Source organism: Homo sapiens, chromosome 4 (genome assembly GCF_000001405.40).
Source record: "Homo sapiens chromosome 4, GRCh38.p14 Primary Assembly".
Classification (NCBI taxonomy): Eukaryota; Metazoa; Chordata; class Mammalia; order Primates; family Hominidae; genus Homo; species Homo sapiens.
Genome location: NC_000004.12, coordinates 72,556,399 through 72,581,767, shown reverse-complemented (window position 1 = coordinate 72,581,767; position 25,369 = coordinate 72,556,399). Strand labels below are relative to the sequence as shown.

Here is a 25,369-nt window from a genome sequence, read left to right as displayed (position 1 = left end):
ATAAATTAGTAAAATGGACTGTACAATAATGAGAAAGACCAGATAACCAGAGAAGTACTTAAAATGATATTATTTTGTAAGGCTCCTGCCCAGACAGTTTTACAGGTGAATTCTTCTAAATTACTTCCAAGGAAGAATGACTATAAAGAACCTAAGTAAAGAAGAAAAACTCAACTAGTATAAACCTAATAGCAAAATTTGACAAAAAAATTTGTGATTTTTTTTCTCCCTTCCCTTGTACCTCCCTTCTTTTTCTTTCCTGTCTTTCCTTTTGCTCTTATTCTTTTTGTTTGCTTGCTTATTTTCTGAAGTGTATATAGCTAAGACATTTTTAGGAAAAAAAAAGAGATGAACCATGAAATTCATCCTAAGATATTTTAATGTTATATTAATTAAAATAAAGTTGCCAGATTTTGTCTCTCCACGTATATACATATACATTATATATATACTATTACCTTTTTTTTTTTTTTTTGAGACTGAGTCTCACTCTATTGCCCATGCTGGCGTATAGTAGTGTGAATCTGGGCTTGCTGCAACCTCCACCTCTTGGGTTCAAGCGATTCTTGTGCCTCAGCCTCCCAAGTAGCTGGGATTACCAGCGCACACCACTACACCCAGCTAATTTTTGTATTTTTAGTGAGATGGGGTTTCACCATGTTGGCCAGGCTGGTCTTGAACTCCTGACCTCAAGCAATCTGCCTGCCTTGGCCTCCTAAAGTGCTGGGATTACAGGTGAGAGCCACCGCGCCAAGCTGTTACTGTGTTTTATACATATATGTGATGTCACTATATTACTGCGATATATAAATATAAATATCTAGACATTTTATTTTAATTACAGTAGCACTAGTATATCTTAGGATATATATACACACACACACACGCACAAATAATGATGTTTGTATGATACTATGTTATTACATATATGTCTATATGTGTGCATATGTATATTACATGTAAATATAAAAGTAATAGTATAACACAAGTATCACACAATAAAATAGGAAATGAATTTAATTTAAAGTGGAATTAACTAATAATGATACAGACAATATCAGGTTCTTATATACCTGGAGGTAGAAGTTAGACTAGGAAACAATTACATGTCTGAAAGAACACTGTGTTACCACCCTATTGAAAAAGACTGGGAAGAAGTGAGTTTGGCTCAGATACAATCTTTACATTCGTGATTTTTCTGAAAGCCCTGTTAACCGCGATAAATAGAAGCTGCATATCACGATAGTTCTGTAAGTTAGCAAGTTAAACAGCCTCTGCTTTGCATGATTTATAAAGAATTGTTTTATTTTGTTTTGTTTTCACCAGGCTGACTGAGTTTAAAAGAGCTATATTATCAATTTGTTAGAATGTCACTGCAAAATGTTTTACTTATGTCAATGCAGTAATTGTTTCAGAAAACTTCCTAAGATGGCTCATCATTTGTGTATGGCTTTTTTATTTTTTATTTTTGGTAACAGTAAGTTTTCTCTGATTGGTTAAAATAAGAGTTCAGTTTTGAAGTTACTGATGATCATGGGAAAATATTATGCAATAGATGCGATATGTAATATAAGAAATTAAATGTATGATGCTCTTTAAGAACTAATTGTAGTACTTGAAGAAGTAGAGTTTAGACATACAGCTTATGTTACCGAATTAGGCCTGGAGGATGGGATAATTTATGAGCAGCACTTTTTAAATGAAGTGCATTTTTCAGTTTATATGGTGGTTATCTGCCAGTGATATTTTCAGCTTGTTTTTATTTATGGGGAATGGAGTTTGGATTACGTACATGCTTAGCATCATGCACACATTTCAATACAAATTCAAAAGAAAAACATACAGTGGGACAGGAAGGAGTATCTTGTTAGTCCATGCGATAATGACTTGAGGTGAAAACCACTACATATGAACAGCCCATGTTATGGAGGCTCCGTTTTTCCCAAACAAGAGTTGTTTGCACCTAGGATTCTGATCTGGATTTATGCCTCCCCCATCTGGAATTTAAAGTGCCTCTCTTCTGCCACAACGGGATGAAGAAGTTCCAGATTACAATGCTATAGGGCTACACAATTAGATTTTTCTCTCCGAATAGATATAGTAGACCACTGAGAATTCTAAAGTCTATAAGTAAGAGAAAACCTCTGGAACTTTAAAATAAATCATTTGGCAATGATTTTCTTGAAGGAAGCTGTGAACATTTGCAGTTGGAAGCCACGAACTACCAGCAAAGAAGCTCTTATTAGGGGAAAGCAACTGGTCTATTTGAAATTAGCATGAAACAAATCCAGCTCGATTCACACAAATATTGTTCAAGCCAAGCTTGAACAATAATGCAAGAAAGTAAATCCAGACCCAAAGAGAAGTAAGGCAACATTCTCTTAGCCAGTCCAGATTCATACCAATTCCTTAGTGCACGGCAAGGGGCAGTTTATATTAGAGTTCCACTGTATACTGTGTATTTGTTTGTGCTTACACTAAACATGTGGTAAAATACATCTGGACTCTCCATCCATGCTAGGGACTTAATTTTTCTCAACAAATCTTATTTTTTGTATCTTAATTTTGTAAAGTCTCAACTTAGAGAATTCTCCTAGCTATTGCTACAAATAGGGGTGAACACTACTTGCTTATCATAATCTCATGCCTACAGGGAACAAATTTAGGTTTAGTATGTATGATTTAGCAACCATTATTGGGATGTTCAAGCAATGTTACTTTTCTTTCTTTTATTTAACTCAAATTAAACCATTTTTAATGCCCAGATCTTTGGGCTGGCAGAACATTCAGCCTCAGTTACTTGGTCTCACTTCCTGGAATCTTACACTCATTAAAATACTGAAAATGACCTCTCTAGGCTTGAGCAGTACAGTTTACCTGAGACTCCCTGTGTCCAAGCCTTTGTGTCTTGGTGGGGAACACAAGTTCCCGGGTTTCAGCTTCCCCAGGTCTAGCAGCAGCCTTTGCCCTCCAAGACCCTGCTCTCTCCATTGCCCTTGGCCTTGCAGGCCTTAGGGGAACCCAGATGTTAACATCTCTGTCTCCGTCTCTTTCATCTATCAAAGTCACCTACTTCTCTACCCTTAAGCCTCTGGGAAACAAAAGCAAGCAGGACAAGCTGTACATGGGGCATTTCTGTCTGTTATTTCCTTGAAGCAAGAGAACACAGAACTTGTGTGGGGGAAGTGAGGGATGGAGAAGGATAGTTACAAAAAGAATATAGAGAGAACAAGACACAAAATAAATATTTGCTGCTTCATAGGTTGTCAACATCTGTTATAGAATGCTCTCTTGATAAAACTTATCTCTATCTGCATATTAATAATAACACCATCTAGTCTCATGGAAGATGAAAAAACATCATTTTCTAGTGTGATCAAAGGGATTAATGGGACATTTATATACCTAGAAACAGGATTTATATAATGAACGTAAGAAAACAACAAGCAAGAAATATGAGATTCTACGTAGTTTTGAAACATATGCTATAATATTAGCATTAATTAAGACAGTCTGACTTATATCAACCAAATACTTTTATAATTAATCTAAGTCTCACAAACTGCAGTGCCTAGGAGTATCTTATGCTTATCTTTTTTTCGAGACAGGGTCTTGCTCTGTCACCCGGACTGGAGTACAGTGGTGTCCATAGCCACACGCCACCATGTCGGGCTAATTTTTGTAGTGTGTGTGTGTGTGTGTGTGTGTGTGTGTGTGTGGGTGTGTGTAGAGACAAGGTCTTACTTTGTTGCCAAGGTGGGTGTGGAATTCCTGGGCTCAAGGCATCTGCCCGCTATGGCCTCTCAAAGTGCTGGGACTACAGGTGTGAGCCTCTGCGCGCGGCCGGTTATTCCTTCAATAATAGCATCAACCAAATGGTCCTTCAACCTTCTTTTCTTTAACGGATAACCTCAGTCAGTTCCTTAAATCTGTTTTGTTTGTTTGTTTGTTTGTTTGTTGAGACGTAGTCTTGCTCTGTCGCCGAGGCTGGAGTGCAATGGCGCGATTTCCACTCACTGCAACCTCCGCCTCCCGGGTTCAAGTGATTCCCCTGCCTCAGCCTTCCAAACAGCTGGGATTACAGGCATGTGCCACCACGCCCGGCTAATTTTTGTATTTTTAGTGGAGATGGGATTTCACCATGTTCACCAGGCTCTCAAACTCCTGACCTCAAGTGATCTACTCACCTCGGTCTCCCAAAGTGTTGGGATTACAGGCGTGAGCCACAGTGCCCGGCCTGGTTCCTTGAATCTTAATACTTATTTTGGGTAAACTACTAACGGACAGCAAATTGTGGACAAATTTCTATCCTCAGTGCAGGCTTATTGCATGAGCAGTTCAGAAATGCAGCACCTCAAAAGGAAATGTCTGTCATGCGTTCCTGTGGGCACCAGACATTCCTGGAGGAATTGTAGATCAGGGACTGTGATCTATTTTTTTAAATTAATAATTGACTTTTCTTAAACTGGTTTTATCTAATGTGCTCACCATGTAAGAAAGCACATGGTTCAATGACTTTTTAGTAAAAACACATTTAATTTCCGAATCAATGCCACAGAGATGCTTTTGTGGACTTATTTCTACTCAGTTCTGAATTATATGTTAACTGTGTATAATAGATGTTTAGTAAGGAATAGGGAACAAAATTAGATGTTATTCTAAATAGCTCATGCTTGATTTTAATGTCACGTGGTTTCTATTTTCTGTAATTATCTATGAATAACATGTCCTATGGCCTTGCAATTCAGAGTGTTTTCTGTGGACCAGCAATATGAGCATCACCTGAGAACTTGTTAGAAATGCCCCACCCCAGACCTGCTGAATCAAAATCTGCATTTATTAGGATAAAAATGGTAGAAAAGTTTGAGTAACACTGCGTAAGTTTACAGTTTAGACTGACTTATCTGGGAAGCTTTTGAAAAATATAGATGCCAAATTTTCACAGTGGATCTGTTGAATCAGAATAGCTCAGAGTTGCGTACAACACATGCATTTAAAGAAACCTCCATGGGTCAACTTCTTATGTGCATATAAAACATAAGAAAACTACATAGTAAGTGGTGACATATATTTTCAGGATGATTTGTCACAAACTAACATTTAGTTAAAATGCCATAACTCTTTTTGAGTGATCAAGGCAACAGATTTGAGGATTAACTCAACTTTATAGACTTGTATCACTTCCTGATGCTGTTAATAATTTCTGTTATTAATTATACAATAATATAAAGAATATTGATGATGTTTTTTTCAAATGCATGAAAAGCATTAAAATGTCACCAGACTATTTTCTTTTGTGTTACATTATGTTGATAGCAAAAGTTCAATCTGAAAAGTTTATGTTTCTTCTATATGGCATAGGACTGCTGAACAGTTTTATAATCTGACATTTGAACTGTCCGCACTAAGCACTTACCATTTACAGTTTGCCAGAAGAGTGGTAGCTCCTATTTTCTTGCTTTCTTTAGTGTGACATAACATAATAAAGACCCTACACATAAATCTCAGTGTCTTTTTTCCTTAACATAAGTAACCTTTTGTAATAATACCAACAAAATAAGAGTAGTAACAATTTCTAGCTTGATTACATCTGTTATAATCTGGATGAGAATCTATTAAAATAAAAACTCAAAAACTTTCAGATCAGAGTTCAGTTTTTTGTTTTGTTTTGTTTTTTCTTCCTAACAAGCTAGATTCTAAGATTGTGTGTTGGGAGATACAGTCTAGCACTGATTGTTAGTTTCATAACTAATTTTTCATTTGTTTGTTGAGTTATTTTTTTCTTCCCATTTTCTCTTTGCTGTTTTTAGTCTGGAAAGAGTTAATTGCTACCTTAAGGAATACATGTAATATTCTGAGAATTAAATAACTGATCTTATTTAAAAGCTGTGTTTATGAAATAAAATTGGGGGTGAATTTCAGTAACTCAATGGGATGGGAACATTTGTTTTTCCCTTAAAACAAAACATAATCCAAACCAAAAACTTTTATAAACATTTTATGAAAACTTTGCCAGCCATTGGATAAATAAAAGAGGGCTCATGAAACTAATAATAAAATATAAAGTCTTTCTGTTAGTTTTAATATACCACAATGATGCTCAAATCTTACATAGTAGAACTGTGATTTACTTCACAATCATTGGTTTGAATGCCCAAAAGATATCTTGACTCTTTTTTTTTTTTTTTGAGACGGAGTCTCGCTCTGTCGCCCAGCCTGGAGTGCAGTGGCGCCATCTCTGCTCACTGCAAGCTCCGCCTCCCGGGTTCACGCCGTTCTCCTGCCTCAGCCTCCCAAGTAGCTGGGACTACAGGCGCCCGCCACCACGTCCGACTAATTTTTTGTATTTTTAGTAGAGACGGGGTTTCACTGTGTTAGCCAGGATGGTCTCAACTTCCTGACCTAGTGATCCACCCACCTCGGCCTCCCAAAGTGCTGGGATTACAGGCGTGAGCCACTGCACCTGGCCGATATGTGACTGTTGTCTCTCCCTTCAGACAGCATGGAAAGAATTTAGATTTTATCCTAATCTCAAAGACATTTAGGACATTTAATTACAGACTTTGCTTTGTTAACTAGTTTTGTTGAAAACTCTTATTAATAAGTGGAGGGATTCTCTCAAATGTAATTTCAGTACAGCTTTTACCCCACATAAACTCACTTCATCTTGTTTTGACTCCAGTGTAAATTCAGAACACTTGACTATTTTCCTGACTTGTATAACTACACTTTCCTATAGGAGAATCCTATTTATGAGCTGTAACTGCTAGTTTGCTAAAAATTTTTCCCTCTCAATAAAGTCTATTGAGTCCAGTTGGAAATTATGAATCGTACTTTTATTTTTTTTTAAATGGTAGTTGATTCACAGTCTTGAGTACTGTGATGTACCACACAAATGTTTTGCAGGATTGACAACTATAGAAAACAACTCACAATTTTGCAGTTACCAATGTGGTGGCCCTTTAAAATACAAGTGTTGCTATAATTAGTATGAGTCAGATAGCTATTTAATTAAGTTTATCAAATATTTGTTGAATGGCCTGCTGTGTGAAAAGTACTATGCCACATCTCTCATTTTGAACCCCCAACTCTCCAAGGGAATACACTGATTAATTTAATGGACTTAAATACTCATTTTATCCAGCATTCCACTAGATTAGAATTCCTTGAGATGTCAAGAGAAAATCATTGCATGAATGCAAAGTAACCTGACAATGATTCTAAATGCTTTGCTACTAAAATAGTTAAAACTATTAAGTTATGCTATTATAAGAAACATTTGAAAGAATTTCAAATTTTAATTGCTCCCTTGTTTCTGTTTTAACCCTGGCCCCAGGAAGACTCTAATCTTCCATTACCATTCAGTTTCCAAGCCAAAAATATCCTAAAGGCTTGAAGAAACAGAGAAAGACTATAAAAACAAAAGATGGTAGACAGCAATATCTGTTTCTGTTAGTTGCGTATGAACAGCTAAATATTTAATTGTGAAACCAAACTTTATCAAGGAAAGAAAGAGGTTATTTATGGTGCTAATGATAGTTAAGGGTGTAATGAATAATCCCAAGTGGAGAAAAAGGAGAAAGATCAAGGAACATGAGGAATGATTTTCCCTCAAGACTTTGTCCCATTGTGGAATTATTCTTCTAAAATCAAGTGATTAAATAAGAAATCCTGAACACCCAACTTTGTTCTTGCAAGATAATGGTTTTCCTCTGAAGGAAATGACTATAGGAAGAACACTGCCTCAACCAGTAGCCAAAGCATGAACTAGATGACCTAATGAGGCCTTTCCATCTCTGATTTCTTGATACTTGTGTTTAGAAATTTTCCTGTTGTTTAACTTTTTTTTTTTTGGAGACAGATTCTCACTCTGTTGCCCAGGCTGGAGTGCAGTGGCATGATCTCGGCTCGCTGCAACTGCCGCCTCCTGGGTTCAAGCGATTCTCCTGCCTCAGCCTCCCGAGTAACTGAGATTATAGGCGTGCACTACCACGCCTGGCTATTTTGTATTTTTAGTAGAGATGGGGTTTCACCATGTTGGCCAGGCTGGTCTCTAACTACTGGCCTCAAGAGATCCACCCGCCTCGGCCTTCCAAAGTGCTGGGATTATAGGCGTGAGCCACTGCACCTGGCCCCTGTTGTTTAATTTTTAAAAATCTTTTTATGGAACTTCTGAAAATTTCTGTGAAAAAGACCCAAGTTGGAAATAGCTTATTCACTGACAGTAGAGAAACAATGACAACAACTCCCTACTCATTTCTCTCAAGTAATAATAAGTAGAAGTAAATATTCACTTCAAGTAGAGACAGTAAATATTCACTTCTTCATTCATTTAATAATTATTCTTTTAGTGCCTATTATGTGCCAGGCTGTATTCTATGAGTATGAAAGTTTGACATCCTGACTCTTTACCAACCTAATGCCTTGGTTAAAAAAAGTAGGCATAATGTATATACAACATACTTGATTCTCTGACCTGTGAATGAAAGAATTCAATATTATATAAAATGGGAGGGTGCTGTGTGAGAGAAAGAGTGAGACTGAGGGTGACTTTTGCTCTCAATGAGCAATAAAATAATTCTCTACATGCTGCTATCAACTCTATTTTCTCATTTTGCATGTCCTGTAGCTGTGCTCTATGAGGATATAGGGTGTGGGAATGGAAAAAAGGGACAGTAGGCCCAGCTTTCACTGTCCTATAGTGGTAGGTCCCATGTACCTACTCTAATATTCCTCTGTGATAGTTCTAGGTGTCAAGAATCCCAAGACCAGGAATAAAGCTCATCAGTAGGCAGGAATAAAAGGATACAATTTTGCCTGGAGATGTTCAAGTTGCAGTAATTAAAGTACTGTGCAACTTTTGTGTGATGGAAATTGTGTGAGATATTGGTGGTAGAAAGTAAACAAAACAAAGATCAAGACCCTTAAGGAACTTGTAATTTAGAGAAGGAGGTGGATATAAATCTAGCCACTTATGATGCAATAAAGTTTTATACTTATACTTCGAACAAAGTTGACCGCAGAATTCCCAAATTTATTTGACCATGGGAAGAAATTAAAAATTGTAAATGTAAAAACTGTAATGTATCTAATAAATATTGACAGAAGGTTGTTAGTTATATTAAAAGTATGGGAAAGGTAAACAACTAAAAGGAACCCCCCCAAAAAAATAAACCTAATAAATGAATTTATAATTAACTATTTGCTGCAAGAAATGACAAAAATTTTATTCATTGGCTTAATACACAATAAATATTGGGTATCAAAATGTTGTCAAATTATGACATTGACCAGTCAGCCTCCAACAGAAAAACCCCCACAACTCTCTACTTACTTAATTGCTGCCAATATGAGGATGCACAGGTTAAAATGTTGATGTGTCAACCAATTTCATGAAACTTATTTTAAAGGAGATGATTTTCAATTAGGGAGACTAAATATATATGGCTACTTTTGAAATTATATGCTTAAAACATATTTTGAAAGAAAACATACTACAAGCATTAGTGTAAGTACTTTTGTGGAGTACCTATTAGCACCTCCTGTAATATGATGCTCTTTGCCATGTGGACAGGAAGAGGAAGGGTGCTATGGACTGAGAAATCACTATGAGCAAGAATGTGAACTTGAGGGTGTGTGGAAAACAACACTGTAGCCTGAGCCAAAGAAACATGGAGTAAGGGAAGGGATTTGACATAAGGCAGGCTGGTAGGGGTCAGTTTTTGAAAGGAACTCAAATGACTCTGTCTCTGACTCCTAACATCCTCTCTGGCAAAATTAAAAGTCAATCACGTTTTAGCTATTTACATTTTCCTATTTTCTTTAGACCTTGCCATATTTTATTACCAATGAGCCATCTGTACATATGCCATCAGTTTTATTCAAAAAATTACACTGAAGCCTTTACATATTCTAGACAATGTGCTAGAGTTTACATGTAAGATCATGTTAATTTTCATGAAGAGTTTGCAAAAGTAGTACTATGAAACCGATATTAGAGTTGAGAAAACTGAAGCTGAATCCTCATGAGAATCCAACCTATCTAACTTGAAGTTCATTTTGCTTTAATAGTTGGGCTTTGTAATGTCATTTACCCATGTGTGTTCCACAGAGGATAAAGCATGAGAAAAAAGGATTCTATGGTCATGTAAGTAAGGAGACCAAATTGCACTACATCTCCCCCTTGAAGACTCACAATTTTTTTTTTTTTTTTTTTTTCAGACGGAGTCTCGCTTTATCGCCCAGGCTGGAGTACAGTGACACAATCTCGTCTCACTGCAACCTCCGCCTCCTGGGGTCAAGCGATTCTTCTGCCTCAGCCTCTGGAGTAGCTGGGACTACAAATGTGTTTGTTTAAATAGGTACCCTGAAGTCTGAAATAAGGAGAGCCATTTTGTTTCATTTATCTAAGTATTTCATGAGCTCAGTTGGCTGTCTGAGAATTTTCCTTTTCCTGGTAAAACATTTAATATTCCAGGGAATACTTTGGGAAACTCTGCCTTAGAATATATTAGGAGAACCCTATTAATTAGAACTCATTTAGAATTAAAAAAAAACCCTATTGCATGCTCTTAAACTGATCTTTGTCAAAGTGAGAGTCATGACTTGCTGGGTTGTGAAATCAATTGAGTGCTCATCTGCAATTGGGGTTGCAGGGAAAGAATGGCAAGAAAAATATCAGGGTTGTTGCATGCAGTACAGGTAAGTACTGAATCATGAAATTTTTACTGGGTCGCTATGCAATATGCATTTCTCTCTGTGGTGATGGCCAAAAATGTCTGAAGCCGCTGCTTTCCTGAAAGTCACATGAATTGCTTGCTATGCCGGGAGTTAGGTGATAACTAATGTCTGAATGTTGTAAAATTAACACAAAAGGGCCTACTGTAATAACATGGTTAAATACATTATTTGTTATTACCTAAAATCAGATGATTTTAGATCTCAAATATCTCATAGAGGAGAAACCAAAATAGAGGTTTATTCTGACTTGTCAAGGTAAGACAGCTGTTAGCTGGGTCTAGAACCTAGATCTCCTAATGTGTATCTCTAGTGTTCTTTTACTTGTCAGTGTAAATTGACAGATTTTTCATTTATGGAATGCTTAGGGTTACTTCTTTTTAATGAATAGACAAACTCGGTGTAAAATGTAGCAAATCACTCCTGGATAGCTAGTTAATGACAAGTTACAAAAATGCTACAGGCTTTAATTGAAGGAAAAAAGTAATTTAGAGATACTTCAGTGCTGGGGTCTAATTCTAATTCCAATTAATAACTAATTGACCTAATATCCTGTTTTACTAGGTGGGGCCATTTAGTTACCTAGTTTCTCATTTGTATATGTAAATGTCCTCGATATATGATTTTGAGAAGACTTAGCAGATAAAACATCAGTGAACACCAAATCTTTCCATGCTTAAGTTAAAGGCACAACCATCACGTTACCTCTCCAGGAATAAACAATGAATCGAAGTTATAGGAAACCCTCCAAACTCACATTGCTTTTAAAAAAGAACAAGAACTATGACTTATCTTGCATCTCATAACAAGATAAACACTAGCTCGTTTTATTGTGGGCAGGCCTCTTCAAGACTGTCCAGTTGAAGTCTTGAAGTTCGTATCTAAATTTGTGTCTACTCACTCCTGGCTCGTGGACCGGTCAGTGGAGGTTGGAGCTATTTCCTTTTCCTCCTGTCTGCTTTCTGGAAAGCACCCACAGGTGTCTACGCCTGGGAGGTGGGCCTGGGCTAGGATTCCAGCAAACTCTCAGGTTGGTGTCATTTCCCCTCAGGAAGCGCCAGGCCACAGCGGGCAGAAATCATTTGATAACTTAATCTGGGTGTGAGGAAGAGTCGCTGAGGCCTGTGTACTCTAGTGATAAACGGAAGCATCCGGGTGAGTCAAGGAAAGGACGTGGTATCTTTTAAAACTAATATAAACGAATAAAGCCTAAACAAGAGCTTACAAAGAAGGACACCCCCTGCCAAAACGTGGGAGGTGACTGGTGCCTGGAAGGGAGATCACCGCGTGGTTAAGATCTGGAGGTTCCAGGGCTTCTCTTCGGGGAGAATTCTCTGGCTGGGAGAACAGTGGAGGTTGGAGGAGGTGAATTTCCTACAGCCCAGGACCAGCCCTCGGACCCTCCCCCTTCCTATAATTAACTCAACGCGCGTCCCGCCAGTCGGGACCGGTGGCGCCCCTGGACCCTCCCCTCCTCTCGCCCTAGGCGGAGAAGGAGAGGCTCCAGGGTGGGAGGTCGAGCCCGGGCCACACCAGCCCCCGAGCGGTCTCCAATCCTGACACGGTGCGGGGGGCGCGGGTTCGGGCCCCGCATGACGTGGGCGCCACGGCGGGAGGGGCAGTCCGGGGAGCTCCGGACGCCTTATTAGCGCCCCGCGGGTCGCCAGCAGCCAGCAGACTGCCGCGCTGCGAGCAACAGGAGCCGGCGAGCGGCCCACTCCTCCCACCTCCTCCGCCTGCCTTCTCCTCCTCCCCTTCGCTCCTCCCGCCCCCACCTCTGCGTGTGCGGCGGAGTCGCCCTCTCCCTGCCTCTTTCTCCCGCTCCCGCTCGCTCGTCTCTCTCGCTAATACTTCCCCCTGCTGTGCTCCGGGGAACCCAAGCATTCTCCGCGCTAACCTTAGGGACCAATGGTGCTCGAAAAGCCTCGAAAAAGCTGCTTTGGGCAGAGATAGTTGGAAAGCCCCTCGTCCCTTCCCCCTCTCCCAGGCTTAGCCTGTGCCCGCTTACAGCACCTTCTCGCTCCTGCACACTCTGTGTTGGGAGGACGGGGTGAGAAGGTGAAGTGGAAAAAACTGCAGAGCAGAGGGGGCCAGTCTCAGAGCTCAAATTTCATTTTCATTGAAGCAAAGCACAGAAGATCATTTTTTTCTATTTCGCATTTTTTCCCTTTTCCTTTTTTTCTTAAAGAAACTTATTTTGGGCGGGGGGGGTGGGTTTGCTCTGGGCATTTGCTTTGCCCAGTAGTTGGAAAGTGAACTCGACTCGTGATGGTTCTCCTGTCACTTTGGTTGATAGCAGCCGCTCTGGTAGAGGTTAGGACTTCAGCTGATGGACAAGTAAGTGGAAAATAATAACAATAAAAAAAAACTCAAACCCAACCTTTTCCCGAAAAGTTCCTCCCCTCTCTACCCTCCTCTCTTTCCTCCTTCTCCTCCCACCCTTCCCTGTTATCTTTTGCGTTCAGAAACGGTGTTTTGAGGGCTGGGCGCAGCGTGCGGGCTTTTGGGGGTAGAGGGTTGAGTTGCACGGGAGGTTACGACTCCCACTCCGGGAGCCCAGTCTTGTCACACCTAGGGCTTCACCAGTCTGCGACATTCGTAACAATTCCTAGTGACAAACCGCAGCCAGTTCCCATCCTCGCCGGGCCATCTGGGCTTCCCCTTTCTGGAGGGCGGTCTGGGCGCTTGAATGAAGTTCTGGACGCTGGGTCCGGGATCCCAGCGCTCTGGCTGCTGCCGCCAGAGTCGGGTTCCTGGAGCTTTCTCTCCTCCGAACTGACTCACGGTTTTTTCGGGCAGCCGGAGGCGGGGGTTTCAGGAAGTCCTTGGGCCGGACAGGGAGAGATCCAGTAGACACGTGTCCTGGGAGTACCACGGCCGGGCTAGGATTTGACAGTTGGGGAGGGGGGCTGGAGACGTTTCCTGCCCTCCGTTTTCCTGGGCAGAGGCTGCAGGCGCCGGCCGCCTTCTCCCCTCCCCCTCTGCACAACTCCTCCTCTTTTTAAAGCTAAGTTGAGTGCAGCTCTGTTTCTTTTCGGCCCTGCCCCCAACCCTTTGGAGGCTCAAGGTGAAGCCCGATGCTCTCAGAAGAGTCCTTGAGAAGGCTCCGCCAGGGGAGCTGTTTGTAGTAAATCATATCAGCACTGGGCCGATGGGACTTTGGGTACAGAATTTCTCTGTTAGTTTTTGTAGCTTCTCCGGTCGGCCTGGTCTGAACGACCATAGGGTAAAAAGTAGAGAATTGTCTAGTTGATTCCTGACCTTAAATCTGATTAATCAGGCCCCCTGTTAGGTGTATTTTGGCCTGTTAAATTCATACTTTCTTTTCTAATCCAGACCCAGTACGACATTTCAGAAGAGAGCATTGAGAGTCTGTATGTATTTTTGCTGGCTTCATAAGTGTTAAATTAAAATGAAAAGGGGCAAACAACTCCCTTCCCCAAATTGTTATGGAATTGGCTCATGGAACCTTCTACAAACCAAGGTGCAGGCTTTAGGCACCAATCCCAGTCTCTAGCATCTCCTGATTAGTTAGCTCTTGGAAACCATTAATGGTAGAAATAAAACTCACAAGGTGATAAGATGAAACCCAGTAACTTTCTTTTTCTTGCTTTCCCCCTCCTTTCCAGGCTGGTAATGAAGAAATGGTGCAAATAGGTAAGCTTTGTTCTCAGATGTCACTCTTATCTTAAGTTGAAAGTAAGGGAATGAAGTGAGCTAAGCAAAATATTGTTTCTGAAATGTTTCCCACTGGTGGTTAAAAAAAATAATCTGTAGTCCGGAAACATTTCTGTTCTTCTCTTCCTCTTTCTGGAGGAAGGTCCCACTTTCCTGGGGCTAAATTATAGTGAGGTAAAAATTCTCCTGCAGTTGGACATTTCAAGCATCAGTTTATTACTGTCTTTGTACAAGCCACTGATATGTACTTGGAAGATGATGGAGGGGCTGTAAGATGATATGGAGATGAATGAAATAAAATCATCAACTTCTGTAGCATTTAGGAGGAGCACATTTGAGTACAACAGAAGGCAAGAATGCTACATAGAAGAGAACAATGAAGTACAGAGCATGGAAATTTTTCTCTTACAATCTTTCCTGCTTTGGGTAAATCCTCTGATGACTTCTGTTATTCAATCTGCTTTAAAATAATTATCTCCTAATGTGAAAGATACTGTTAGGCCTTTTGCTAATATCTAAAATCCCAGTACTCTTCTGATGGTGTGGAGATTCTTACTCCCATTTTATGGGTGAGGAGACTGAGATTCAGAGAGTGTAAGTGACTTGCAACAGGTCACTCAGAAGTCCATGGTCTTTCTTGAAGCTGTTTAGAATAATGTATTTGTTGTGAATGCGGAGGCTGAAAGTCATCTGGCAAGAAGCCAGGCTACATTCAAAGTCTTTTCATACACATTTTACTTGGATTACTTTAAAAGATAATTTTTCTTTTTGGCAGAGTATTAGTCTCTGTCAATTCTGTATTTGTCAGGTGATATTGTAAAGCTGTCTTTTAGAAGAAAAGTTTTTATAACTGCTGCTGCAAACATAGTTACAAGTCATTGGCCGTTTATTAAATGCCAGGCACAGTGTTGATTGTTTCATGTGTTATGTCAACTGATTCCCACAGCCACACTGTGAGGTGGGGATACTATTGTGCCTATGTTAGAGATGAGGAAAATGAAGCTTGAGAGGTTGCATAGCTACCTGTTATAGTACACAGTGGAGATTCACACTTGTTAACTAAGAAACCCAAGAGCTAAGCCCAGAGGTGTGTATATGTAGCCTGTAATATATGAGCATATATCAAAATGCTCCTTCCTACTCAGTGCTTAGCATTGTTGGATGTATTTCCCAAGCTTAGACCTCGACGGCAAGAGGAGAACAGTGGGGAGGAAAGGCACTGAGAACTGCCCTAAAAGTACAGTGTTTATGATCAGATACTTGTCATTCGTAGTTGATAACATTCAGCCATCAATCCTTATCTTTTTAAAGAATTTTTTTTAACCAACTCTTAAGTAGGGAGAAGAAAGTTGTCTTATTTTTAATTACTTAAATATTTGATTACTTACACGTCCCAACTTTTCAATATGCAAATTAAAAAGATGTCTTAAGATCACCCATTCCACCAAAAAATTTCATAAAATATATAGCTTTGATTAGAATTTTAAGATAGAATTAGGATGCTCTCATATAAGAGGCCCTGGATTGAACCGAAGTTTGGTTCAGTTGTTTTGCTAATGTAAATTACTATGGTAGCCCTTTTAAAGGGAAGAAAATAGTACAGGTGTCCTTAAATTTGGCAGAGGAGAGATAAGTCAGTATGAAAGAGAGGAGGCGGAGCCCTCTTAGGGTGTAGTGCTGAAGATTTACTTGTTCCCATATTCATCTGTTTTATGGGATTTCTCTCTTTTATTATTACCATTCTTATTTATCGTTTTCCAGTTGAATGAAGAGAAGAACAGATTGAATAAAATAGATTTTGGCCCACAGGTCTTGTGATAGCAAAAGTATAACTATCATTTCACTTTGGTTTATGTATCATATGTAAGAAAATCTTATGTACAGTGATTAGTTTTGCTCCCCTGTTCCCATGTGTAAAGGCACTGCTACACTGCTAACCTGGAGATTTGGTGAAATGCACTCCTGAACACGTTATTTATTTTTTTTCTATTAACTGATTTAGAAGTAGTTTTATATAACTACCTGGGGACGTGTTATTTGATCAGAAATACATTAGGAAAGACAAATAATGTTTGTAGATTTTATTTATTTATTTTTCAACAAATTGGCTAGAAAATAAATTTCATGGCCCTGAATAATTTCTAAATAATTTAATGTTTCAGGAAGGGTTAAATATAAATGAGTAATAAACCACAAGTTGTTAAGAAACTAAATTTTAAAAATACTTTCTACTGAAGTGTAGTATAGATGTAGGAGGGTGCATATAAGTGTACTTTGCTGATTTTTCACAAAGTGAATGCTCCTGTGCAGTCAGCAGTCAGCAGCTGGATCAATAAGTTGAACATTACTGGAATCCCTGTACGTCCCTCATGCCAACTGCCAAGCATTCTCCCGTTATGAAAGGTGACTGCTCTCCTGACTTCTAACAGGATAAATTGATTGTGTCAGTTTTTCATGCTCTTTGTAACTAGAGTCACAGGATATGTACTTCTTAGTATTTAACTTAGAAGGTCAATTTTCAAAAATATATCTTATATGCTTCAACCCTCTAGACTAGGAAGGCTTTTATTTAGGTAAAGAGAAGGCAGTTTGTGATGGGGACAGGTTAGAATATGTATAGCTATGTCACCAATATAGTGTCTCATGCAGGATATTGCCTCCTTCCTTCTCTCTTCAGCCAGTGGAATAATACCTTCTTGGTATGTGGGAAAGTAGGATTCACCCTAGAAAAAATGGGTAAATAGGTTTTGAACCCTGACCTAGTTGTGTGCCTCTTTGTCAACCAGATAGGAACTGCCTCTCTAACCACCTACCTATACCCATACATACATATATATCTGTGTGTTTGAGTATGTTTCTGTATATATGTGTAAGTATGTTTCATGAGATCATTGACATACTTCTAGGGCGTATCAGGGAGCACTGTCATTTCTGACTCAGAGTATTGCCTTGGTAGGATGCCTGAGTTAATTGTGGGAAACTGGTGTGGCTGGTCCAATTGGGTAAGGAGGCTTGCTCAATGACACATGTGGCTTAGGAAATAATCATAGTTCTGTAGACACTGGAAAATCTGAAAAAGAATTCTCTGAGTCCTTTTGTTTCATAAGCCACCACTGAGATTGCTTGAGTATCATTTGAGGAAAAAGCATTGTGATCCTTTAGTGTTAAGCTGTCTTCCCTTTCCCGACCCCACTTGGAATTGGGGCATATCTTCCATCTCCTGATTCCTCTTGGAATTGGGGCATCTGTCCTATTTCTGTTCCTCAGTTGCAAATTCCATTACATCCCAATCTTAAAAAAATAAAGTTGCTAATCTTACTCTCTCAGATATCTAGTTTACTAAGAGATAATTTTTCACCATTTTCAGGTTTCAGTTTGTAAGGTTTAGTGTGAGTCACTTACCTAGTTATTGACCAGTAAACATTGTCACTAGATTAACCCTCATGAGAGCAAAGACTTTGTTTTGATGCCAATTGTATCTCTAGTACATAAAACAGTGCTTGGTAGCTTGTGGGTCCTCAAATATTGGTTATTCAATGAATAGATCTAGCAAGCAGGATATTATTATATTAAGGTTTATCTATGTTCTGAATTTCCTTGAATGCTCTTGTTTTGTGCCTTTCTCCAGGCTGAATTGGTCCCTAAGAAAATGAAGATGGTGACAATGGCTATACAATTAATTATTCAATGTTATCAAGGCCTCTTGGGACTCCTCTTCCACCCCACAAAGCACAGGGACCTAGGCCTATCATTTTTTGTATGCTTTTCTGTTTGTACTCAATAAGTATTTGGTAAATTGAATTGAATTCTATGTGCAGTTTTGGAATGCCAACTAATTTTTTGTTTTTTTAACTACAGCCTACTTGGGATCATTTGCCCTATTGCTGGCATCAGGAAAGATAAGCTAAGCTAAGATTAAAATCTGTCAATCCAATTTGCCAGCAGCAGTACTAGAAAGTGTGGTGAAGGAGGTTTAGGGGGATCCTTTGTAAAATTTAGAATTTTAGCTACTCAAGCCATTATTCTTTCTTGTAACTAAAGGTAATGGAGTTGGCTTTACTGATTTATCTTTTGTCCCTCCATTGAGCATGATTATGGTGAATGTTAACTGCTTCAAGATTCTTAGGTGAAAATTTTATTAAGTGCAGCATGCTATGTATCACCATTATCACAACTTAGTGTTGGTGTTTAGCCATGCTTTCACTGCTTTTCCTTGTCATTGTACCAAATAATTATAATATTGCTCAGAAATGTTAAAAAACCCTCAAGGTCGCCTCTGCTTCCAGAATGATGATCTTAAAACATTCTTTACTTTGAGTAGCCAACCCAGATTATCTTGGAAATCCATTAGGAACCATTCCAAATTGCCTGGCAAAATCATGAGTAATTTTGATATGAAGAGTTGGGTTATTGTGCTTGGAAAGGATATATTGACAATGATGACTTCAATGGAACTTTAATGCTTCTTTAAAAAGGATTGCTATTATCAGAATTTTGAGAATCTTCTCTTTAGTGTTCGTGTAGTAGAGATCAAATTTTATTCCTAAACTATACTACTTCTATTATTATAAGTTGTTGAATTTTTTCTTTTTAATTAGTCAGTGTTTTCCCAGATTGTTGATGTCTTACAAGTGCCCACTGTAATTATATTCTTTAATTTTTCTGGATTCTTAAGATTTTTGAAAATCATTCCAGTTCCCAAACTGCTGTTATAATTTAGCATGTTCTTATTCAAACTTCTTTCAGTACACACACTGTATTTTTTGTATAACTGTTTTTGTTTTGTTTAATGTTTTAGTACAATTTTTCAACATAATTACAAACTCCTTCTGAACTTCATTTTAATCTCATCATACTAATAAACTCTAATTTGTATAATCATTTTCCTAACAGTATTTATTTTCCCATGATAGTGAATGTTGCCACACAGTGTTGTGTATGTATATGTCGTTGCCTGCATTTCAAGTGACTACTTTAGGAGAGAGCCCCACAAGTTGGTTACTGAGTAAAAACAAATTCACATGATACATTTTGACAAATGGCTTTTGAACAAGTCTGTATGATCTGAACTCCTACTAGCAACTTAGGAAAGTATTGATTTTTAAAATTTCACTTTAGAATTATTTCTTTCTTCTTTTTGATATTTGAATATAATTTTTAAATATTTGGTTATGCAATCTGAAAGATGCAGCGAATTCGTAATTTTTCTAACTCTCAAGTACCCAATAAATATGAATAATCATATTATACAAATGTTTTTGTAATTTTATTAGTACTGCGAGAAGACTCATCTACCTCATACAGTGCAATCTGAGAGTTGTATATTCCTGAAAATGGACAGTGAAGCACGGGAAGTTTCCTAGCATAGCAACCTCTGTTCCCACATATAATTTATACCTCCTGATTTTCCAAAGAAGTTTACATGACTTTGCTGACTAACTGTAAATCCCTAGGAGAAATTTTGTGGTAAAATGTCAGTCTCTTGTTTATGAAAATGATTGCCACAAATTCAGCATGATGAATCTGCATGGAATTTAGAACAAATTGTGAGCAGCATGAAAAGGTATACCTTGCTCTTGAAGTGATTGATAAAACAAAAATAGTCATTAGGAAACTTGTAGCAAGTAAAACAGGATTAAATATATGATTCCTCAGGTACTGTGGTCTTAGATAGTAAATCACATTTCCAACAATTTTTCTTAATATTTAGTAAGTATATTTTTATTTAGATATGCAAACAAAAAGAATGATTGATGGCATTATTCATGAGTTCCAGTTCTCTTTCCTTTACGTGTAAGAACCTCTCTCTTTTACATGTAAAGTTCATTTTTTTCTTTCTTTTTTTTTTGAGACAGGGTCTCGCTCTGTAACAGAAGCTGGAGTGCAGTGATGCAGTCATGGCTCACTGCAGCCTTGATCTCCCCAGCTCAGGCGATCCTCCTGCCTCAGCCTCCCGAGTAGCTGGGACTACACTGGCCCCATTTCCTTTTTCTTTTCTTTCTTTTTGAGACAGAGTCTCACTCTGTTGCTCAGGCTGGAGTGCAGTGGCACAATCTCAGCTCCCTGCAACCTCTGCCTTCTGGGTTCAAGCAATTCTCTGCCTCAGCCTCCCGAGTAGCTGGGACTACAGGTGCATACTACCACGCCGGCTAATTTTTGTATTTTTGGTAGAGACGAGTTTCACCATCTTGGCCAGCTGGTCCTGAACTCCTGACCTTGTGATCCACCCGCCTCAGCTTCCCAAAGTGCTAGGATTACAGTGTTAGCCACCGTGCCTGGCCCTGGCCCCATTTCTTAATCTAAAATCTAAATCTATATATCCAGGAGAGGACCTGTTAATACTCATATTTCCTCTATCAAGTGGTCAGGAGCACAGACACTGTTGACTGAGTAGTTTAAAGTCCTAACTCCACCGCTTTCTAGCTGGTAACCTTAACCTCTCAAAGTGTTACTTTCTTGTGTGTAACATATGCATAATACTACATTTTAGAAAAAAATTTAATTTTAATTTTAAGTTCCAGGGTACACGTGCAGGACATGCAGGTTTGTTACATAGGTAAACGTGTGTCATGGTGGTTTGCTGCACCTATCAACCTATCACCTAGGTATTAAGCTCAGCATGTATTAGCTATTTTTCCTAGTGCTCTCTTCTCCTCCACCCCACCCCTCAATGGGCCCCAGCGTGTGTTGCTCCCCACCCTGTGTCCATGTGTTCTCATTGTTCAGCTCCCACTTATGAGTGAGAACATGTGGTGCTTGGTTTTCTGTTCCTGAGTTAGTTTGCTGAGGATAATGGCTTCCAGCTCCATCCATGTTCCTGCAAAGGACATGATCTTGTTCGTTTTTGTGGCTGCATAGTATTCCATGGTGTATATATATCACATTTTCTTTATCCAGTCTATCATTGATTGGCGTTTGGGTTGATTCCATGTCTTTGCTATTGTGAATAGTGCTGCAATGAACATTTTTGTTGTGTAGAAACTCTTTAGTTTAATTAGATCCCATTTGTCAATTTTCGCTTTTGTTGAAATTGCTTTCAGTGATTTTGTTATGAAATCTTTGTCTGTGCCTATGTCCTGAATGATATTGCCTAGATTTTTCTTTTAGGGTTTTTATAGGTTTTTTTTTTTTATAGTTTTGGGTTTTACATTTAAGTCTTTAATCCATCTTGAGTTAATTTTTAAATAAGGTGTAAGGAAGGGGTCCAGTTTCAATTTTCTGCATATGACTAGCCAGTTCTCCCAATACCACTTATTAAATAGGGAATCCTTCCTCTATTGCTTGTTTTTGTCAGGTTTAAGGTTGTAGATGTGCAGTGTTATTTCTGAGTTCTCTGTTCTGTTCCACTGGCCTGTGTGTATGTTTTTGTGTCAGTACCAGGCTGTTTGGGTTATTGTAGCCTTGTAGTATAGTTTGAAGTCAGGTAGTTTGATGCCTCCAGCTTTGTTCTTTTTGTTTAGGACTGTCTTGGCTATATGAGCTCTTTTTTGGTTCCATATGAATTTTAAAATAGTTTTTTAAAAATTCTGTGAATAATGTCAATGGTAGTTTAATGGGAATAGCATTGAATCCATAAATTACTTTGCCATAGTCTTGTGAAAATACTACTATTTACTTCATAGCATTCATAAAATGCTGCTACGCTGTAAACAAGATAGAATCATAACTATTGTTATTAGTGTGTCTTTGACTTGTGCTGTTTCTTTTTCTTTTTTTAAAAAAACTTTTACTCAAAGAGAGGTACTTCATTCTAATCCGTACATTTTAGGTAGGTCTGCCTATCACCATGAATTTCCAGGAACTTTAATTTCCTGTGCCATGGACTTGTAAACTGTCCAGCCAGTCAGCTCACCATGTGACAGCTCTTTGAGAGTTTTGTTTTCATGTATTATCTTCATGTTTGTATCTCAGTGTAGTATTGTTTAATTAATTGTAATATAGCAGTAGAGAGAGGGAGTTGAGAAAGGAATGGTGCAAAACCAGTTATTCCATATGGATTCCATGCCAACTATATTTTATGTTTACCAGATACAACTCTTTTACTTCTTACACCTTATTTTGTTGGAATTCCCTTCATTCCAGTTTGCTAACAGAAGTCATGTAGAAGTCATGACTCCTTTGGATGCTAGTGACAGGAACCTAGTTCACACAGGTTAAGGAAAACAAAATTGATGAGGTTTCAAAGTCAGGTATAGTTGGATCTAGAGTTCAAATGATACTCTCATGGACTCTCTCTCTTTCTCTTATTCCCTCTTTCTCTTTTTCCTTGTATCTTTCTCATTTTTCCTCTGTATTGGTTTTATTTCTCTTTCAGAGTAGGATTGGTTCACCTCCCCCTACACCTCCCACAAGTTGTGGCAAAGACTGTTGCTGTCATCTCCAGGCTGTCATTCTACCTTTCACTCCAGAAGAGAGATGCCTCTTTTTTGACAGTTCCAGTACATTTCCTGGTAGAGATTTTATTGGCTACTTGATTTAGTCATAAGCTTGAATCATTCACTGTGGTCAGGGGATGCAGTACTTTGATTCACCTGGATTGGGGCATTTTACCTCTGATTTGTAAGGAGTGTGACTGGAGTATGACATGGTTAACCTGAAGGGAAATCGGTGTGCAGTTAAAGAAAAAGGAGGGATGCATGCTGAAGAGTCACACATCATACAGTAATACCTCAAATGCAATAGCTTTCCAGCACATTGGGTGGGAGATAGTGGCTGTGGCAGGCAGAATAATGGCACGCCAAAGATGTCTGTGCCTGGATCCTTGGAACCTGCGAGTATGTTATGTTACATGCCAAAGGGGGATTAAGTTTGCAGATGGAATTGAGGTTGACAATCAAATGACCTTAAAATAGCGAGATTATCCTGGATTATCAGGGTAGGAGTCTTTATAAATGGAAGAGGGAGGTGAAAGAGAGAGAACCAGAGAGGTGGTAGCAGGAGGACTTAGTCCCCTGTTGCTGGTTCTGAGGATGGAGGAAGGGGGACCATAAGCCAGGCGATGTCGGTGGCCTCCAAAAGCTGGAAAAAGCAGGGAAACAGATTCTCTCTTACAGCTTCCAAAAGGAATGCAGCCCTGCTGATGACTTGATTTTAGCTCAGTGACCTAGTAGACTGTCCCAGTTTCTCCTACTTTTTGACAAAAGTATGAGCCAGGCTATTTTAGATTTGGAAAATGTAATTATCGCAAGTAAAGTTTCAGTGAAAACCTTTAACAGTGCTGTCCACATTTCTTGTTTATTTTATTTTCCCCAGGCTTTGCTCTTGGAGACAAATGTTAATTTTTATAGCTTCAAATTCTATACTCAATATTAATCTTTCAAAGTTCTATCTAGCAAAAATTATAAGAGGTGTGAGAAATATTAATTTTTAGAGTGCCTAACATAGCTCTCGAGTCTGTAAGATTCTTAATGATGCTAAATAAGCAGAAGTACTTATTTAAAAACTGAGATTGGAATATTAAAATTTTGGCATTTGGGCTTCACTTAAAAACAAAATGTTTTTTACTTATTTTGTTATTGATTATTTGGTCATTTTAAGATGTAGCAAATAAAATGCTTGGATATTTTTCTTCAAAGCATGCTTTTTCTTTTTTTGAAATATCTTCTCTTACCTGATTTCATGTTCTAGTACAGTAAAGAATGTGTTGTTCTTTCCTAAATGGCTTTTTTGAACATAAATATTGTGCAATTGCAACAAATATTTATTAATAAGCCAGATTTTTAAAAACTAGAAGAATTTAAGTACACAACTATTCATTCTTTCTTAATAATGAATAAAAAAGCCATGACCTTTATTTTTCAAATAGTTTCATAAAAATATTATACTATGAAAATAGATTTGCAATTAAAATAAAAGACACACCAAAGAGGGTGTCGGACTTGTGGTGATAAGAGCCTAGAGGATTTGAAGTGAGGAAAAAAGAATTTGACTGTGTTCAGAATTTCAGCATGTGTCACAATTAATTTTTAATTGCTTTTGAGGGAAGATGTGTACCATTCCCCTTAAGTGTTTACGGCTTTGCTGAGCCCTTTGGCATTTGGCGTCCTCCTTAATGTCCATTCTTCGCCCTGCTTGCATCTTTCCTGGAGCAGCTGGCTCCCATCATTTCTGATGAAAGTCATTCTCTTACTCTTGGCTCAGGATTTGGAAATGTTGTTGTTGGAGCTGCTTCTTTAGATGATCTTGAAAATGCTTATTCGATTTCATTCTTGAGGCCAGATTATTGCATACTGAGAATTTATACCTGATAAAAGAAATTGCCTGTGTGAACTGCCACTTCATCGTAGTTAACCAGCCAATTCTTGGGAGAGAATTCCAGTCTTTTAGATTGGGTAATGGGGCATGGATTGTTACAGCCAGATTGGATTTTAGGCCCTCTGTTGATGTGGAATTTAAGGTCCTTCTAACTGTATCACATCAGGCTGGGTGGGATTATAGGGGAGAGAGGCCTGAAGGGGTGCTGGGACTTGGAAGAAATCTGAAACTGGCTTTCTTTTTCTATAGCTCTAGTTAGAGGTGATGATAACAGCTCACTTTTCATTTATTAAAGTGTTATTAGATGGACCAAGTCCTTTGTATACTTCACTTCATTTGGTCCCCATTATTATTTTTATTTTTACAGATAACCTCTGCGAGCCTTAATTTTCAGAATTTGCTTGTAAGATGCCAAAGCGTGCATCAGTCAGGAACTAGAATTCAAATGCAATGCTTTCTGACTCCAGACCTTTAGTGCTCAACCATCATACCCAAATCTCTTCCTTGCTTGGAGCCATATGCATCAATCACAAGTATTTCAATATTCTATGTGCCTGGGGTAGCTTTGGTATTGATTAGACCCTTAAAAATTTGTGTGACATATAAGAGATTTATACTGAAGTCGCTCAAAGTCATTGCAATGTTGACAATACTACTGAAGACTTCTGTTCTTTTACAGTTCTATAGTGTGGTCTTTGCA

General features: G+C 38.6%; 1 protein-coding gene across 3 annotated transcripts in view; it reads left to right on the top strand.

Moving 5' to 3' along the window:
* Positions 12,547-25,369, top strand: part of ADAMTS3 (ADAM metallopeptidase with thrombospondin type 1 motif 3) — a 288,253-nt gene continuing 275,430 nt past the window's right edge. Inside the window, exons 1-2 of one of the 3 annotated variants that reach the window (NM_014243.3) lie at positions 12,547-13,074; positions 14,367-14,394. In NM_014243.3, coding sequence (NP_055058.2) covers positions 13,006-13,074; positions 14,367-14,394 — 97 coding nt within the window. In that variant the 5' untranslated portion in view covers positions 12,547-13,005. The other 2 variants (XM_011532422.4, XM_011532421.2) reach the window with 2 other exon arrangements.